Source organism: Homo sapiens, chromosome 8 (assembly GCF_000001405.40).
Source record: "Homo sapiens chromosome 8, GRCh38.p14 Primary Assembly".
Classification (NCBI taxonomy): Eukaryota; Metazoa; Chordata; class Mammalia; order Primates; family Hominidae; genus Homo; species Homo sapiens.
Genome location: NC_000008.11, coordinates 95,593,981 through 95,614,266, shown reverse-complemented (window position 1 = coordinate 95,614,266; position 20,286 = coordinate 95,593,981). Strand labels below are relative to the sequence as shown.

At 36.8% G+C, this 20,286-nt stretch overlaps 1 long non-coding RNA gene and 1 pseudogene across 9 annotated transcripts in view; both read right to left on the bottom strand.

The window, feature by feature from the left end:
* The window catches only part of CFAP418-AS1 (CFAP418 antisense RNA 1), a 541,308-nt gene that overhangs the window by 195,877 nt on the left and 325,145 nt on the right, over nt 1–20,286 (bottom strand). For 5 of the 9 annotated variants that reach the window (NR_038201.1, NR_038203.1, NR_038209.1 and 2 more), the window contains one exon: nt 3,570–3,603. The exons of 2 other annotated variants lie outside the window; for them this stretch is intronic. This is a non-coding gene — a long non-coding RNA (CFAP418 antisense RNA 1). Of the gene's footprint in view, nt 1–3,564; nt 3,604–20,286 lie in introns of all 9 variants that reach the window. 2 more of the 9 variants (NR_038206.1, NR_038205.1) reach the window with 1 other exon arrangement.
* RNU6-690P (RNA, U6 small nuclear 690, pseudogene) lies at nt 15,048–15,153 on the bottom strand (annotated as a pseudogene).

The window sequence follows — 20,286 nt, the reverse complement described above, 5'->3', positions numbered from 1 at the left end:
TATAATACACATATATCATACATACATGTATATCAGTTTCTTTATCCATATATACACATATATGTATATATACATATTATCCATATATACATATATTTGTATATATATACATGTATATGTATGATATATATGTGTATAATATATATACACACATATATATGATGGAATACTTCTCCGCCGTAAATAGGAATGAATTAATGGCATTCACAGCAACGTGGATGGGATTAGAGACTATTATTCTAAGTGAGGTAACTCAGGAATGGACAACCAAACATCGTATGTTCTCACTCATAAGTGGGAGCTAAGCTATGAGAATGTAAAGGCCTAAGAATGATACAATGGACTTTGGGCACTGGCAGGGAAAAGGGCAGGAAGGGGGTGAGGGATAAAAAGCTACAAATTGGGTTCACTGTATACTGCTTGGGTGATGGGTGCACCAAAATCTCACAAATCCCCACTAAAGAACTGACTCATGTAACCAAACACCACCTGTTCCCCAAAATCCTATGGAAATAAAAAATTTAAAAATTTTTTAATAAAAATAAATAAATACATAAAAGATTATTATTAAGGATTTAAAAAAAGAAATTCTAGAAACTTGTGCTTTGCTAAAAGGTTACTGGTTGGGTCTCCATGTTATCACCTCTGATAACTGCTACTTCCTCCCCACAGAGAGTTTTAAGGTGAACAGGAAATTTGCATTCATAGAGAAAAAAGTACAATGCTGGACACTAAATTAATTCTACCAAGATGTTTAATCTCTGATTTCTGTGTTGCTGTAAACTTCATACATACTCAACCAGCACTGAAAAGAAGGAAGAAATTTAAATGAGACAAAGAACATAACAAATTCTTTCCCTTGACTCTGAGTTTAATGCTGAACAACTATAAAAGCTATTGGTAGGACTTGGGTGTTCCCGAACATACAAGCCCTATGACTACTGGGAGAGATAGTGGGTTCCGTCAGAACTGAAGTTACCCCTTTCCAACTGCAATGTCTGTAGTATTTCCAATAAGGTGTTCAAGATTCAAGGCAATCGTTTTCCAAACGGGAGCAGACAGATTTTTGAGGTGTGATCTACTTACCCTCCTTATTGAAGAAGAAAAAAAAAACAAACAAACCAATAAACAAAAAAAAGCCTGACTCTTTATATTTACCTAAATTAATAAATTGTATTCTTGTTGACAATAGCTTTGAAGTAAATATGCACACTGTGCTTTAAAAGTACACTCTGTCTCCCTGCTTTATTTTCATATACAATACATACATTATTTCAGATATACATTCAAAAGGACAGCTATGTACTGGTACTTTTAAAGAAATTATACATTTTCTGGTGCCAGAGCACACAGATGGTCCATTTACCACTTCAGGGAACTTGCCACTGTTTTTTAAGCAGTAAAAGTTTCATTTTCTCACTTTTTTTTTTTACTTCCTATTCTCTTTCATGATATTCACTAATACTATGAAATTATCCAGACATTTTGGAAGCCATTAAAAGTATAGAAAATTTCTGTTCTCTATAGAATGTAGATCTTATATTTGTTTTTAAACCAAACAGGTGTGTTGAAAAAGGAGGCACAGGGATTTACACTTCTACAGTAACAAGGCCTTCAGTTCAAAGGCAGGCACACCAATGTCTAATCACTTCGTCCAGTCACTTTCACATAGGAGGAAGTCAAGGCCTGTTGGTTAACTGATTCATTAGTTAGTTAATGTAACAACTTCAGCTTGCCTCCTTTCTATGAGACCCAAAAGTTCAATGGAAATTAGAAAAATATAAAGAATCCAGAGACTCTTAGATAGTACAGACACAATTATCCCATAGAAAATGTAGAATGTCATATTTTGTAAAAATTCTTTGTGAAGTAGTTGAAGATGCTTTTTCAGAACCCCAGGTACTCTCTCAAGTTCATTGTATAAAATGCTTAACAATGCTTCATCAAGAACTTATATAAAATATAAAATCTGGGGAAATACCATTCTGGTCATAGGCCCTGGCAAAGATTTCATGATGAAGCAATTGCAACAAAAACAAAAATTGACAAATGGGACCTAATTAAACTAAAGCACTTCTGCACAGCAAAAGAAATTATCAACACAGTAAACAGACAACCTCCAGAATGGGAGAAAATATTTGCAAACTATGTATCAAAAGAGGTATAATATCCAGAATCTATGAAGAATTTCAACAAACCAACAAACAGAAAACAAGCAACCCCATTAAATGGTCAAAAAAATGGTCAACCCCAAAAAAATGGTCAAAGATCATGAACAGACACAAGAAGACATACATACAGCCAATGAGCATGTGGAAAAATGCTCCACATTACTAATCATTAAAGAAATGCAAATCAAGACCACAGTGAGATATTGTCTCACACCAATCAGAACGGCTATTGTTAAAAAGTCAAAAAGCAACAGCTGCTGGCAAGGTTGAGGAGAAAAGGGAACATGTATTCACTGCTGGTGGGAATGTAAATTAGTTCAGTCACTGTTGAAGGCAGTTTGGAGATTTTTCAAATAACTGAAAACAGAACTACCATTCAACCCAACAATCCCATTACTGCATATATACCTAAAGAAATAGAAATCATTCCAACATAAAGATAACGTGCATGCATATGTTCACCATGGCACTATTCACAATAGCAAAGACATGGAATCAACATAAATGTCCATCAATGGTGGATTGATAAAGAAAATGTGGCATATATACACCATGGAATACCACACAGCCATTAAAAAGAATGAGATCATGTTCTTTGCAATAGCATGGATGGAACTGAAGACCATTATCCTAAGTGACACATGAACAGAAAACCAAATACTGCATGTTCTCACTTATGAGAGTTAAACATTGAATACACATGGATACGAAGAGAACAATAGACACCAGGGCCTACTTGAGAGAGGAAGGTGGGAGGAGGATGAGAAATGAAAAACTACCTATTGGGTACTATGCTTATTACCTGGGTGATGAAATAATCTGTACATCAAATCCCCAAAACACACAATTTACCCATGTAACAAACAAATCTGCACATGTACCCCCAACCCAAAATAAAAGTTAGAAAGAAATAATAAAAATAAAATATATATATGTGTGATTGATCCATGTCTACTTATGAATGTATCTACACCCAGATTTCTAGAAATACATACACAACACAACAGTTCCAAAAGATTACAGGAAAACAGGAAGATATTTATGCTTCAGAAAACAAGATTTAATAAACATCTATTTGGTAACTATTGTTTTTCAGTCATGGTCTGGCTAGTGAGGACACTACACTGAATAAGTCAGACATAATACCTGCCTTCATAGAGCAAGAAGCAGATAATAAAAAGTATGAAGAGAGTAACAGAGATGAGAAGGGCTAAAAATGCACCAGGGACAAGATAGCAAAGGCAGAACAACTTTTCTTGTTTTCAATAACATTGTGTTTCATAAAATGACAGCAAGAATTATAATCATAAATTAGAAATTCATTATAAAAGTAGTTGAGATCTCATAAGTGGTTGGTGCTTTAAAAAGTGGTAAAATGGAAACTAAGATTTACCTTACCGCATAATCCTTGAATCCCTCATGGCCATTGTTGCTGAAAAGGAAAACAAGAAAAGAACAGTAATGAGATGAAGGAATGGATGGCTAATTGCAATTGATTGGTTGATCTTGTCAAGGTGGAGTGAACTACACAGATGATATGAAAAACCTTTTGAGTATCTAGTTACCAACTAAAAATAATTACCTCATCCTAGGTCAGCATTTGATTGGGTTCCAACTGGATGGCAATTTAATTATTCTAAGTCTCATCATACAACATCCTGCCAACAAATACTTAGAGATCATCTCTAGATGCTATTCACACTTATACCAAGGCTTTAGTCCAAACATATTTCCCTTTTGTTCCTCTGTGGTCCTTTTACATATGTTGCTTCTTTACTAACATTTTGCTTTATCTAGGCATATCAACTTGTGAATAAATATATGTATATATTTTATTTTGTTTCCATATTTTTAGGAAACAGGTGGATTTTTGTTACATTGGTAAGTTCTTTAGTGCTGATTTCTGAGATTTTGGTGCACCCATCACTCAAGCAGTGTACACTAAACCCAATGTGTAGTCTTTTATCCCTCACCCCACTCCCATCCTTCCCCCTAAATCCAGAGTCCATTATCTCATTCTTATGCCTTTGCATCCTCATAGCTTAGCTCCCACTTATAAGTAAGAAATACCACCAACATGGCACATGTGTACGTATGTAACAAACCGGCACGTTGTGCACGTATACCCTAAAACTTAAAGTATAATTTTAAAAAAATACAATATTTGGTTTTCCATTCCTGGGTTACTTCACTTTGAAAAATGGTCTCCTGGGCCAGTTGTGGTGGCTCACACCTGTAATCCCAGCACTTTGGGAGGCCGAGGTGGGTGGATCACCTGAGGTCAGGAGTTCAAGACCAGCCTGGCCAACATGGTTAAACCCTGCATCTACTAAAAGTACAAAAATTAGCCAGGCATGGTGGCATGCACCTGTAATCCCAGGTACTCAGGAGGCTGAGGCAGGAGACCTGGGAGGCGGAGGTTGCAGTGAGACAAGATCGTGCCATTGCACTCCAGCCTGGGCAACAGAGCAAGACTCCATCAAAAAAAGAGAAGGAAGGAAGGAAGGAAGGGAGGGAGGGAGGGAAAGAAAGAAAGAAAACAAAGAAAGAAAGAAAGAAAGAAAGAAAGAAAGAAAGAAAGAAAGAAAGAAAGAAAGAAAGAAAGAAAGAAAGAAAGAGAAAGAAAGAAAAGAAGGAAGGAGAAAGAAAGAAAGAGAAAGGAAGGAAAAGAAGAAAAGAAAAGGGAAGAAAAGGGAAGAAAGAAGGGAGGAAGGGAGGAAGGGAGGGAAGGAAGGGGAGAGAGAGAGAGAGAGAGAGAGAAAGGAAGGAAAAGAAAGGAAAGAAAGGATGATCTCCAACTCCATCCAAGTTGCTGCAAATGCCATTATTTCATTCCTTTTTTATGGCAATATTTTTGGACAGAAACACTGTTACTTGAATTGTCCGGTGACTAAAGAACATTCTGTCAACAACAAAAATTAATTCATGATTAACGTCAACCATAATAACATATTGTAACAAATTTCTAACAAACTGATAGCAAAAATATATATATATTATATTCAACAAATTCTACTCTTTGTAAAATCTGGGCAATTCAGTAGTCATTCAAAGGCCAAAGTAGGAGAAAACTCAGATAGTTCATCTAATTAAGTTTAAAAAGCATGTTCTTTAATTCTCTGCTAGAACTTCCCCCTTTCTCTTCCTTCGGCCAATACAGCCAGATTAGGCAAGGGTGGGTTTGGTCTACCATCAGTCCTGAGTACACAAAGGGGAGACAAAGCATGAAATATTTACAACTGGGAAATATTTGCATTAGTGCAAATTGAGGGGCTTAGTACAGTCATAGACTTAGGATAAGAAGTCCTCTCTTAGAAGAATCCTCAAATTTTCTCAAAACTATTCTTTCTTACCTAGGACAAAGCCCATCATTAATCATGATGTATCTGAAGAGGTAATGCCTAGCTATGCTATCTAAAATAATAGCCACTAACCACATGTGGCTATTAAAGTTAAAATTAATTAAAATTAAATAAAATTTAGAATTGTTACCCAGACACACTATCCACATTTCAAGTATTCAGTAGCCACATGTCATTAATGACCACAGTCTCAGGCAGCACAGTTCATTTCCAACATCTCAGAACATTCTACAGACAGAATTGCAGAGCCTTCCTAGAAAGTTCTTCTCTTTACTTGGAAAAGAGGAATTGAGTCTTGAACAAATCCTGTTGGATGTAAAAAAAATTATATTTGCTTCTCTGTAATTGTTGCCAGCCCTCAGGATACATCCCCACCCTGGAAACTACTGTGTTAATGTCAGTTATTCCCTTCTCTTTGTCTTTCATTTCAAATTTATCTGCTTGGACTGCCCAGTCCCACTTCTTTGAGTTTTACATCTCAAACACTTTACCACTATCCTTAGGCCAGGCTCAGACCTGCCTCCCAGATTTACCTACACTTTCTATCAGATCAGCCTTGTTCTTGTTCTATTTTCTCATCACAACAATACATTTTTACATTTTGAAAGGTTCTTCATATGGAACTCAGTACACACCCATCCAGAGAAAAAGGTAGAACGCAGACCTTTCTTTAGAGAAATAGAATTAATTAAGCCATTTCAGATCAAGTATTTTTCAGAATTCTCTCCTCTTTATCAACTGTATCTACCCCAAATATCAAGTGAATACTTAGTCATAATATCTCAACCTAATGAGAGATAAATTCATGATTACATGAAAGTCAAACTTTTCCCTTAAGTTTCTTGACCTTGACATAAAGAAAATGTTAGAACTAAATTTCAGATTGTGTTCTTCTGGGCAAAGGTTTCTCTTATTCAAATATACCTTTTGAAGCCAGTCAAAAGGACTTGCTGATAAACATTTCAACACCACGCTTTATTACAACAAGTTATTTCTGTTGTTTACTACGTGGTTCGACCTTGATGAAAAGCAGATCTTCACCAGTGCATTTTTGTGCAAATTCCTTACCTTTCTGTTTACAAAAGAAAGTGAAGACCTTTCAGGGCTGTTTGTCACCATGCCCTAGTAGCCAACAATGCACATTGTCAACTGCTTAAGTTTTCACTTCCTAATTAACTTTCCTAGAAGCATAAGAACTGTCTGAAAACACAAAGCTCTCCCATTAACCTTCCTTCATTGCACTCCACTCAGTCCTGGATGGATGATGAGTGTATTGAACAATGAAGTCCTCCAGTGGGGTAGGAACCATCTGCACACAAAGAGAGTAATCTGAGAAAGCTCTCTGCAGAACAAATTAGTTATCTACTTCAGTTAGAACCTTTTTAAAGGATTACGACATTAAGACAGTCCTGCCCCAAACCCATGCATGAATGTTAAAGTTATTCTCAAACATATTTGTTTCCTTCATTCCCAAAATGAGATTCATTTTCACTTAATCACTAACAATATTTCCCAGCCCTTAGCTGAGAGATTCCAGATCACACATGCACACAAAATCCCAATGTATTAGTGATGGGGAACTTTAAATACAGTCATTATTAAAATAAGTGGAATTTTATTTTAAATCCTTGTTTGATTAGGCATTTGTAATAAAATGCACTCCACTAAAGAATTAAATAACTACTTGAGTATCCTACAATTATTGTGCTACCGTTCATTTTAATTGAAGAAAATTATTTTGGCAAAATTTTTGGATTATGTTTTTAAAAAATGTAATACTGCAATCATTTTACTTTGTCATAGATGCAGGGATTGTTTTGCCCATTTTATACGAAAAGGAAATAAGGAACAGAAAAGTAAAGTCACAAACCTCACATTGCACAATCTGTCAGCACGGAAATCAAGAGCACACTGACTCAAAATAAGGTACATGTGTTTTAAAGGAAATCTCTTATCCTCACCATGTCAGCATAGTCTACCCATCTTAGAGAAGAAACTCAGATAGTTTCCTAAGCAGCAAGCTGTTATTCATCTCAGAATATTCCTAAATCTTTGCAATCCTTTTTTTTTTTTTGAGAGGGAGTCTTGCCCTATCGCCCAGGCTGGAATGTAGTGGCACCATCTGGGCTCACTGCAACTCCGCCTCATGGGTTCAAGAGATTCTCCTGCCTGAGCCTTCCGAGTACCTGGGATTACAGGTGCCTGCCACTACACCCGGCTAATTTTTGTATTTTAGTAGAGACGGGGTTTCACTACGTAGGTCAAGCTGGTCTCGAACTCCTGACCCCAAATGATCCACTAATCTCGGCCTCCCAAAACACTGGGATTACAGGCGTGACGGCCACGCCTGGCCAATCTTTGCAATACTTTTATAGCAACTAGAAATAGGGAGAGAAGAGTAACCATGATATATCTGGCATTTCTTAATGCATGATTCTGACCTCTTTCTTGTAAGACCACTCATTTTTACAACTCTGCCTTTTCTCTAGACCATATTCAGTCAACATTATTAAGCAGATAATGTATCTCAGGATACATTTCCAAAGCCATGATATCCCCAACTAAACTGGGCTGACTACACAAACCACCATTGATTACATAAACATCTGCTTTCCACTACTAAAATTCATTTTGCATAGAAGGTAAAAAATTCAGGTAACTTCACTAGTTCTTCCAAATAATCTCTTATATCTACCAAAGAGAAAAGTGGTGAGGGGATCCTGAGTTTGGTAGATGAAAGCAGCTGGAAGACTGAAGGCAATGCATACAAACTCCAGTAGGGAGTGATTGTCACTGGGTCTTATTGCCACGTGGTCATAAGGAAAAGCCCAGATGAAGTCCAGAAGAGCTAATCTCCCTCCTATGACTCAAATATAAAAAAGAAATGCCTGTCTTAGTAAAGCTCCTGGGGACCAGTGGCTGGGATCAGCACACAAAGCCTTTTCTGAGACAGCTCTTCTTTGGCAATTACTTATCCACCGAGTAGGAAATTTAAGGGCAAAGATAAAATGAGTTAAGAAAACCCAGAAAGAACATTCTGATCTTAAAAGCAAATGAACATGGTCTCTTCATTAAAGGACATTTAGAAAGGCTGGCTGCCTCTAAGTGCTGCCTGCTTGCTGCTCAAACATAGCAGCCATTTGTACAGTGGAAGAGTCAATGACACTAATAATTTGTAATTCTTGTACAAGCAATCTGGGCACTTGCCAGGTCAGCTTAAGTTGACTGTGACCAGGTTAAAAAGAAAAAAGGACTTTCAAGGACCATCAAGAACAAACTAGCCTGCTGCATATGAGAATCTGAACCATTATTTATGTAAACATTCTCATGCAGAATAGTGGCACTGATTTCTTACTTGAGGCCTTGCCTAGCTAAATATATAAGAAAACAGGAAATCCCACCTGAACCTCGTGTTATTCCAACTTACACACATTGCCAAGATGTAAAGAGATAACCATGTGTAAAGTTGTTGTGCAGAGCCTTGAACTAACCAAGCAGCAAAGGGAAAGGAAAATGAAATAATTTAGAATCATGTGGCTGATTAAATAATTGCCAAAATAAAGTTTGCTTTCCAACATCAAACTCTTCTTCCCGGTGGAAGTTCAGTTTGGACTGTAAGTTTCACTCTCAGATGTTCTTTTCTGCAGATCTGAAGCAGGTGAAGTAAGTAAGTAAACGAGAGAGAAGGTCCCATGTGCTAAATCTGTGTGCAGCAAGGGGAGGAAGGCAGCCTCTTTTCAGTGACAGTGACATATGCTCGGTGTCAGAGACCAGGGACAAACCAGGTTGGCGAATGCGAGGAGGAATCAGAATGCAGATGAGTTGAGGCATGGTGGGCAGGCCACTGAGCCCTCAATAGACCTGCCAATGAGAAGGCCTTGAGAACATTCAGAGGAAGGCAGGAATCCCAAGTGCAAACATAAGGTTAAGTTTGAAGCCAATGGCGATCTGATCTTGTACAACATGAAGGGATCAGGCACCAATTTTCCATGAATGATTTGCTGCTGTGTCCATGAGCTTCTGTGAACCCAATTTAGAACCCATAGCTCTTTTTAAGAGAAACAAACTAATAACCGATTATCAGTTTACCTGTAGAAACAATGTTGTCCACTACCAAGTAGGAGACAGAAAAGAGGTAGAATCAAAATAGTGACTTCTGAGGTCAAGTAAAAATTTCATGTGCTAGTATACACTGTTAATATACATAACATCTTTTCCCCCCAGGAGCAACATAGATATATATCAGCTCACATAAATTAATAACCACATCCTCACACTTTACATAAAAATCATGATGGAGAAAGAAAAAGTCAAGGGTATTAGGATATGGGGTTTTGGAATTTTTCAAGGTATGAATATTTGCCCTTCACTATAATTTATAACTGCTTTTTATAAAAAGCACTCTGTGTGACAAAATGTAAGTGGTGATTCTGAAATGTTGAAGAGAAACAACTGCAGGTTTTATGCAGGTGAAAAATAACACAGAATTGTGTTGCTAGAGAGGGAAAGGAGGGGAGAACAAAAAGTAGACAGAACATGATAATGGCGTCAAAGGTCCAAAGAAGAAGGAAAAAATGTAAACATATTATTAGTCACTGCTACTTTAGGCATTCTGCTAAAATCGCTTTGGAACTATTATATTTTAAAAATCACAAACTGTAATATCCCCACTGAAAAGTTTACCCATTTTAGTATTTCCTTCTTATAACATTGATCACCCTTTATTATATTTGCATGCTTAATGTCTCTCTTTATAGCTAGGTGCTGTGCTCTCTGAGGTCAGGTTCCTCATTGACTTTGCTCACAATTATATTTCTGAAGTCTGGCACTTTGACACTGGAAGTGCTAAATAAATATTTTAGGGATGGGGAGGGAGGAAGGTAGGGGAAGGAAAAAAGAGAGAGGGAAGGAAAGAAGGGAGGAGGAAATGAAGAAATTACATGTAATTTTAAGTAATAATCAAGGTACTTAATGTCTAAATAGTATAACTTGATCTGAATAGAGTTATTGGTAAATGATTCGAGTGAGCTTCAACAATTTGTATCCCCAGGGTTATGGACACATACATAAGAATTTAGATAGTAGGATGTAAAATACATTGTAAAACTTTTGAAAAATAAGAATTCATGGGGGATGCCAACTTCCCATGAGTAAGATTTATTTATTTGATTATTTATTTATTTTTGACTTTTAGGTTCAGAGGGTACATGTACAGGTTTGTTTGTTACATGGGTGAACTGCATGTCACTAAGGTTTGGTGTACAAATAATCCCGTCACCCAGGTGGTGAGCATAGTACCTGATAGTTTTTAAACCCACAACTTCTCACCCTCCTACCTCAAGTGCCTATTGTTTCCATCTTTGTGTCCACAGATATTAAATTTAGCTCCCACTAACAAGTGAAAATATTCAGTATTTGGTTTTCTGTTCCTGCATTAATTTGCTTAGGAAAATGGCTTCCACCTGCATCCATGTTGCTGCAGAGGACATGATCTCATTCTTTTTAACAGCTGTGTAGTATTCCATGTTGTATATGTACCACATGTTCTTCATCCAGTCCACTGTTCATAGGCATCTAGGTTAATTCCATGTCTTTGCTATTGTGAATATGTGCTATGTATTCACTGTGCTATGATGAGCATATGCATGCATGTATCTTCATGGTAGAATGATTTATATTCTTTTTGGTATACACCCAGTAATGGGATTGCTGAGTCTAATGGTAGTTCTGTTTTCAGTTCTTTGAAAAATCTCCAAACTGCCTTCAACAGTGGCTGAACTAATTTACATTCCTACCAGCAGTGTATAAGTGTTCCCTTTTCTCCACAGCCTCACTAGTATCCGTTATTTTTTGACTTTGTAAAAATAGCCATTCTGACTGGTGTAAGATGATATCTCATTGTGGTTTTGATTTACATTTCTTTAGTGATTAGTAATGTGGGGGATTTTTTCACATGCTTGTTGGTTGTGTGTATGTCTTCTTTTGAGAAGTGCCTACTCACATCCTTTGCCCTTTTTTAAATGTGGTGGGTTGTTTTTTGCTTCTCGAATCATTTAAGTTCCCTATAGATTCTGTATATTAGATGTTTGTTGGATGCACAGTTTGTGAATATTTTCTCTCATTCTGCAGGTTGTCTGTTTACTGGGTTGATAGTTTCTTTTACTGTGCAGAAGCTCTTTAGTTTACATCCTATTTGTCAATTTTTGGTTTTGTTGCAATTGCTTTTGGGGACTTAGCCATAAATTCTATGCCAAAGCCAATGTCCAGAATAGTATTTCCTAGGTTTTCTTCTAGGATTTTTATAGTTTTAGGTTTTACATTGCAGTCTTTAATCTATCTTGAGTTGATTTTTGTATATGGTAAAAGAAATGGCTCCAGTTTCAATCTTCTACATATGGCTAGCCAGTTATCCCAGCACCATTTATTGAATAGAGAGTCCCCTTTCCCATTGCTGATTTTTGTCAACTTTGTCAAAGATCAAATGGCTGTAGGTGTGCAGCTTTATTTCTGTGTTCTCTGTTATGTTCCATTGGTCTATGTGCCTGATTTTGTACCAGTATCATGCTGTTTTGGTTACCATAGCCTTGTAGTATAGTTTGAAATCAGATAGTGCGATACCACCTGCTTTGTTTTTGTTTTTATGCTTTTGTTTTTTGCTTAGGATTGCTTTGGCTATTTGGGCTCTTTTTTGATTCCATATGAATTTTAGAATAGTTTTTTCTAATTCTGTGAAAAATGTCCTTGGCAGTTTGATAGAAATAGCATTGAATCTGTAAATTGCTTTGGGCAGTGTAGCCATTTTAATAAGATTGACTCTTCCTATCCATGAGCATGGAATGTTTTTCCATTTGTTTGTGTAATTTCTGATTTCTTTCAGCTGTGTTTTATAAATTTTGTTGTAGATATCTTTCACTTCCTTGGTTAGCTGTATTCCTAGGTATTTTATTCTTTTTGTGGCTATTGTAAATGGGATTGTGTTCTTGATTTGGCTATCAGCTTGTACTTTATTGGTGTATACAAATGCTACTGATTTTTGTACACTGATTTTGTATCCTGAAACTTTTCTAAAGTTGTTTATCAGTTCTAGGAGCTTTTTTTGGCAGAGTCTATGGGGTTTTCCAGGTATAGAATCATATTGTCTGTGAAGATAGTATGACTTACTCTCTTCCTATCTGGATGACTTTTATTTCTTTTTCTTGCCCACTTGCTGTAGCTAGGACTTCCAGTACTATGTTGAATAGCAGTGGTAAAAGTGGGCATCCTTATCTTGTTTCCATTCTCAAAGAGAATACTTCCAGCTTTTGCCTATTCAGTATGATGTTGGCTGTGGGTTTGTCATAGATGGTTCTTATTATTTGGAGGTATGTTTCTTTGATTCCTAGTTTGTTGAGGGTTTTTAACATGAAGGGACATTGAGTTTTATCAAAAGGCTTTTCTGCATCTATTGAGATGATCATGTGGTTTTTGTTTTTAATTCTGTTTATGTGGTGAATCACATTTATTGATTTGTGTATGTTGAACCCAACTTGCATCCCAGAAATAAAGCCTACTTGATCATCATGGTAACTTTTTGATGTGCTGCTGGACATGGTTAGCTAATATTTCATTGAGGATTTTTGCATTCATGTTCATCACAGATATTGAAGCTTTCTTTCTGTTGTGTCTCTGCAAGGCTATGGTATGAGAATGATGTTGGCTTCATAGAATGAGTTAGGGAGGAGAACCCTCTCCTCTTTTTTTGGAATAATTTCCATAGAATTGGTACTAGATCTTTGTATGTCTGGTAGAATTTAGCTGTGAATCTGTGTCATCTCAAGGTTTATTTTTTCATTGGTAGAGTTTTTTTATTACTAACTCAATGTCAGAACACATTATTGGTCTGTTCAGGATTTCAATTTCTTCCTGGTTCAATACTGGGAGGCTCTATGGTTCCAGGAATTTATCCACTTCTGCTTTGTTTTCTAGTCTGCATGCATAGAGATGTTCACAATAGTCCCTGAAGGTTTTTATATTTCTGTGGGGTTAGGTGGTAATGTCACCTTTGTCATTTCTGATTGTACTTAGTTGGATCTTCTCTTTTTAGTAATCTACTTATTGGTCTATAAATCTTGTTTATTCTTTCAAAAAACAAATTTTGGTTTTGTTGATCTTTTGTGTGGATTTTTACATCTGAATTTTGTTCAGTTCAGCTCTGATTTCAGTTATTTCTTTTTTTCTCCTGGCTTTGAGGTCAGTTTGCTCTTGTTTTTCTAGTTTCTCTAGGTGCAATGTTAGGTTGCTAATTTGAGATCTAATTTCTTGATGTAAGCATTTAGCACTATAGATTTTCCTCTTAATACTGCTTTACCTGTGTCCCAGAAATTCTGGTATGTTCTACCCAGTAGCAGAATATACATTCTTCTCATCTGCACACAGCATATACTGCAAGATTCATCACATGCTCTGCCATAAAGCAAGTATCAATGAATTAAAAAAAGTCAAAATCGTACCAACCACATTGTTTCATTAGTTTCAAAGAGTTTTTTTTTTATCTCTGCCTTAATTTTATTCTTTACCCAAAAGACATTTAGAAGTAGATTGTTTAATTTCCATGTAATTGTATGGTTTTGCAATATCTTCTTGGTATTGAATTCTATCTTTATTGAGCTGTGGCCTGAGAGTGTGGTTGGTATAGCTTTGGTCTTTTTGAATTTGTTGGTACTTTATGGCTTAGCATGTGGTCAATCTTAGGGTATGTGCTGTATGCAGATGAGAAGAATGTATATTCTGTTGTTGGCTGGAGTGTCTTGTAAATGTCTATTAGGTCTATTTGGACAACTGTGGGTTTTAAGTTCAGAATATCTCTGTTAGTTTTCTGCCTCAATGATCTGTCTAATGCTATTAGTGTGGTGTTGAAATCTCCCACTATTATTGTGTGTTTATCTAAGTCCCTTCACAGGTCTCTAGAACTTATTTTATGGATCTGGGGGCTCCAATGTTGGATGCATATGTATATTTAGGACAGTTATGTCTTCTTGTTGAATTGTACCCTTTATCACTTTGCAATGTCCTTCTTTGTCTTTTTTGATCATTGTCTGTTTTGTCTGATATAAGAATAGCACCTCTGCTTTTTTTTTATTTCCTGTTTGCCTATAGATCTTTCTCCATCCATTTACTTTGATCTTGTATGTGTCATTGCATGTGAGATAGATCTCTTGAAGACAGCAGACAGTTGGGTCTTGCTTCTTTATCCAACTTGCCACTGGTAGCAGGTATTGATCTTTTGTTTCCATGTTCAGCACTCACTTAAAGACATTCTGTAAGGCAGGACTAATGGTAACTAACTCATTTAGCATTGTCTTCTCTGAAAATAATTTTATTTATCCTTCTCTTATGAAGCTTAATTTGGTGGGGTATGAAATTCTTGGTTGGAATTTCTTTTCTTTAAGGATGCTGAAAATAGGCCTTCAATCTCTTCTGGCTTGTAAGGTTTCTGTTGAAGGGTCCACTATTCACCTGACAGGCTTCCCTTTGTAAAAATAAGGAATGCTTCATGAATTTCTGTGTTATCCTTGTGCAGGAGCCATGCTATCTTCTTTGTATCATTCCAATTTTAGCATGCGTGCTGCAAAAGCAGGCACATGAATAAGATTTAAATTCTGAGTATACTGGGATGAATGAATTAACAGAATAACTTAAATGATGTGAGATTCAATAAGGATAAGGACTATTTGGGTACTCATTCTCTTCTTGTATGTTTTTATGCTTCTGGAGAGTTCTTGTAAAAGAGTAAATTGATATTAATAATACAGCAGCCGTTGGTAAACAATAACTAAAGCATTAAGTCTAGGGAAGTATGGTGTTAGGGTAAAATCACTGATTCAAGAGACATGGGGATTTATCCCTAATAAATCCCATAATCTAACTAGGTTACAGTTTTTCCAACTGTTAAATGAAAGTAGTAAATCAAATTATTTCTGAAGACATTTTGATTTATAAATATCTTTGTCTTTATACATAAGTTTCATACTTTAGTGAGAGTGCCAGAAAAGCAACAACAATAAATAATATGTCCTCTTAATACCCAGATATTTTTATGGTACTAATTCTTTGTGGCTGTTAGGCAAAACTGTAAACTTCAGGATTTAAAAAACAAAGTTGTTAAACAAAGGTTTAAGCATTTTTTTAGCTCTCAGTTTTATGTAAATGTTCTCACCTGATTATTTTCTCCATATAAGTAATCACATTTTTCTGCTTGAAAAAACTACCTAACTGAGCCAGAAGGCTTAGACAATAGAATTAGATATTTGATGTGTGACTTAAGAAAGCAAAAGCCTCAGGCAAGGTGTCCCCTTGAATGCAGGTGGTCTTTTATAGTCACCATTGTAATATTAGATGTTTGGCAATGTGCTAACATGGTTACACTTTATCTTATCTGTTTATCACCACAATCCTTAAGAATAGAAATTTTTGTTCTCATTTAAAACATTTAAAAACAGAAATTTAAAGAGCTTCAGTAACTTGATCATGGTTACACAGGTAATAAATGGTAGAACTGGGCTTTGAACCCAGGTCCAAATGGCTTTTCAATCTGTGCTCCATGCTGCCTCCATGTTCTCTCACACGCTTCAGCTTACTGAAGAGCAAAGAGCCAAAAACAAAAAATGGGATCCAAATTGTTACAGAAAGTCCTTGAATCACTGATGGATATTGCTACCAATAGCTCTAAGTAATATATATGTGGGTGGTAGACATCAAAGCTCACACAGCAATCCCGGTCAATTGTCCCTTCAGAAGAATGTCCATAACCACTGCTGGAAAATTACCAAGTTGCCACAGCAAAGGAAAATAAGGATCTAATAAATGGTCTCTCTTTTGTGGAAGTGGCACATAGACTTTCACTCACAACTCATTGGTCAGAACTGGTAACATGACTCCTAATGACCAAGGGCCAAGAAGTCAATCCTATCAAGAATAAGGGAAACCAGAACTATTTTGGAAATAACACAAATGGCTACCACAATAACTATAGCACCAAGTGATGTGAGCTGTATGTGTGTAAGAAGTGTTAAAGAAGGATATTGGAGGAGCAGAGAAGGTTGCATAAAGAAGTAACATTTACATAGCCCTTTAAAATATGCTGTAAATATTATCTTTGTAAAGAAAAGTAAGGGCCAGGCACAGTGGCTCATGCCTGTAATCCCAGCACTTTGGGAGGCTGAGGCAGGCAGATCACCTGAGGTCAGGAGTTCAAGACCAGCTTGGCCAACCATGGCCAACATGGGGAAACCCCGTGTCTACTAAAAATAAAAAATTACAGGTGGTGGGCACCTGTAATCCCAGCAACTCAGGAGGCTGAGGCAGGAGAATCACTTGAACCCGGGAGGTGGAGGTTGCAGTGAGCCGAGATTGCACCAGTGCACTCAAGCCTGGGCAACAGAGCAAGACTCTGTCAGAAAAGGAAAGAAAGGAAAGGAAAGGAAAGAAAGGAAAGGGAAGAAAGGAAAGACAGGAAAGGAGAGGAGAGGAGGAGAGAAAAAGAAGGGGAGGGAGAGGAGGGGAGGAGGGGGAGGGGAGAGGAGGGGAGGGGGAGGGGAGGGGAGGGGAGGGGAGGGGAGGGGAGGGGAGGGGAGGGGGAGGGAGGGAAGGGAAGGGGTATTCCAGGAGAGGAAAAAGAACTACCAAACAAAGGCTTCTATGTGACGGTAATTGCATATTCAGGAAAACAATGAAATAGCTGGTGAAGATATGGCAGAAATGCTTAAGTTTTATTAAGCTTAGCTTAAGAATTATCTGAGGAGATCCAGATCTCACCTGCCCCCATAGATATTCTAATGCTGCAGATTTGGGGCAGGTTGTAGGTATATCCATCTCCACCCTCCCTCTCATGCTGTGGTTCCAATGCAGAGGTCCATGGACTACACTGTGAGATATACTAAAATAGGAAGTATGATAAGAAGTGGCCTATGAAGGTCTAGAAAGGAAGAATTGGATCCAGAACCTGAAAGTGTTAGTTTTTCTAGCTAGACAATTGTCCTTAATCTTTAGGGAAGGCAAATGTGGGTACCTTTAATCAGAGGAGGTGATTGGTGGCAGTACGAAGGATAGATTGAAATAAAAAGAGACTACAATGAGAACAAGTGGTCTAGGAAGCTACTGCTACATTGATGTAAGGTATAGCTGGTGAAAACCTGAACTACAAGTGTTACTTTGAGACTTGCATGTGTATTATTGAAAAATAAATAACGGCAACAATTGTTTTGAATTTAGACTAATGAAAATTTTTTGAGAAAAGTGATTTTCTCACTGACATTGTTTCGAATTACTAATACATGGGGATAATAAAAATCAGATTGACTTTTAGTCAGTTTCATTATTATTTTAAAATCTCTGCAGACACTGCATGCCCCTACTCTGTGTAGCTTGGAGTGCCCTGCTCCCACCACCCTACCTTTGCTGTGCCTCTGGTGGGGAACCAGTTTGCAGTTCAAGGAGTTTTGACAAATACATACATCTATGAAACCACCATTACAATCAATATATGAAAATTTCTGTCATCTCCAATGGTGCTCAGTAACCCTTCCCAGCCAGTTCCCAACCTCCACCCTTGGCCTTAGTAACCATTGATCTACTTTCTATCACTATAGATTTGATTTGTCTTGTCTAGAGTTTTATATAAATTGAATCATTCAATACGTATTTTGCATGTCTGGCTTCTTTTTCTCAGAAGACTGTTCTTGAGATTCATCCAGGTTGTTGCATAAATCAACAGTTCATCTCTTTTATTGCTGAGTAATATTCCATTGTTTAGACGTACTAGAATTACTTATCTGTTAACCTGTTAACAAACACTTGAGTTGTTTTCCATTTGGGGCTATTATGAACAAAGCTAATTCAAACAAATCTTTGTGTAGACATGTTTTTTTACTTTTTCTGAGCAAATACTTAGGGCTGCTAAAATTTCTATGTCATATGGCAAGTGTGTGCTAAATTTTATAAAAAACATTCAAGCTGTTTCCAAAGTGATATCATCCTATATTCCCACCAGCACTGTATGAAAGTTCCAGTCACTTCAGACCTGGTGTTATTACACTTTCTAACTGTAGCCATTCCAGTAGATGTAATGATATATCATTACTGACCCTTCCCTTTGGCTGTAAATTTTTTGTAATATTAGTGATTTGTACAAGATCATTCCAATTATTTTCTTAACACTCTCAGACCTCAACTGTAGCTAAAGGAAGAATTCAAGCCATGATTATTTATAAGGATAAATATAAGGATTATATTATAAGGATTACTCTTCAATAAGAATAGGTAGACTCAGGGTTTTAATGATGATGGAAAAACAAAGTTCTATACATCACTTTTTGGTGAGTTCTACATTTTACCTAGTACTCATTCAAAGAAAAGAGGCTATTCCTGAAGTCCTGCAATACTTCCTTTTCCTACCTCATATAGAAATACCCATACAAAGCAATGGCTTCTCTTTATAAGGCTTGTTTCGTTTCCATATTCCAGGTTAAGTATTATTTTTTTCTTTTGAACTAAGATTACGTAACAAACAAAAGACACTGCAGAGAAAAATCAAGTGACACATCACATGATTTTTTTTAGGTTTGGAAGAGGTTTCTTATGGAAGATCAGGACCAAACTGCTCCAGGGTGAGAAAGAAAACAGAGCTACAGTTATACAGCTGCAAATCAGCTAAGGACATTTATTTTTTCTTGTAACTAACTTAACACTTCTGAATGGTCATGATTGTTCATGTAACGAAGCTATTTTTTTTGAAGGATCACTTCCTCAGCTGAAGATGATTTTGTTCCGAAGGGAAAACGCACATGTACACACAAACACACGCTCCAACACACACTCAGCTATTGTTGCTAAGGTTTAGGTATGAATTTGCACAATCCTGTATTTAAACATCTGGTTGGGGGTAAAAAGTTATTGACCATAAGCATAAGCAAACTGTGATATTATTTAATAGTAAGTAGTATCCATAAGCAATAAAACTATTCATTTTATTTTACAGCAGAAATTCTGGTAATTCTTATAATTCTAGTGATTCTATCTGAATATACACCCTTTGTCCTACCTATAAGTGTCTATACATAAACTCAGAAATTTAAAGCTAATGGAGTGAAGGTAAGATGCTATCTCGCACCAGTTAGAATGGTGATCATTAAAAAGTCAGGAAACAACAGATGCTGGAGAGGATGTGGAGAAATAGGAACACTTTTATACTGTTGGTGGGAGGAAAAATTAGTTCAAACATTGTTGGAGACAGTGTGGCAATTCCTCAAGGATCTATAATCAGAAATACCATTTGACCCAGCAATCCCATTACTGGATATATACCTAAAGGATTATAAATCATTCTACTATAAAGACACATGCACACATATGTTTCTTGCAACATTATTCACAATAGCAAAGACTTGGAACCAACCCAAATGCCCAACAATGATAGAGTGGATAAAGAAAATGTGGCACATATACACCATGGAACGCCATGAAGCCATAAAAAAGGATGAGTTCATGTCCTTTGAAGGGACATGCATGAAGCTGGAAACCATCATTCTCAGCAAACTAACACAGGAACAGAAAACCAAACACCGCAGGTTCTCACTCATGAGTGGGAGTTGAACAATGAGAACACATGGACACAGGGAGGGGAACATCACACACCAGGACCTGTCAGGGGTTGGGGACTATGGGAGGGATAGCATTAGGAGAAATACCTAATGTAGATGACGGGTTGATGAGTGAAG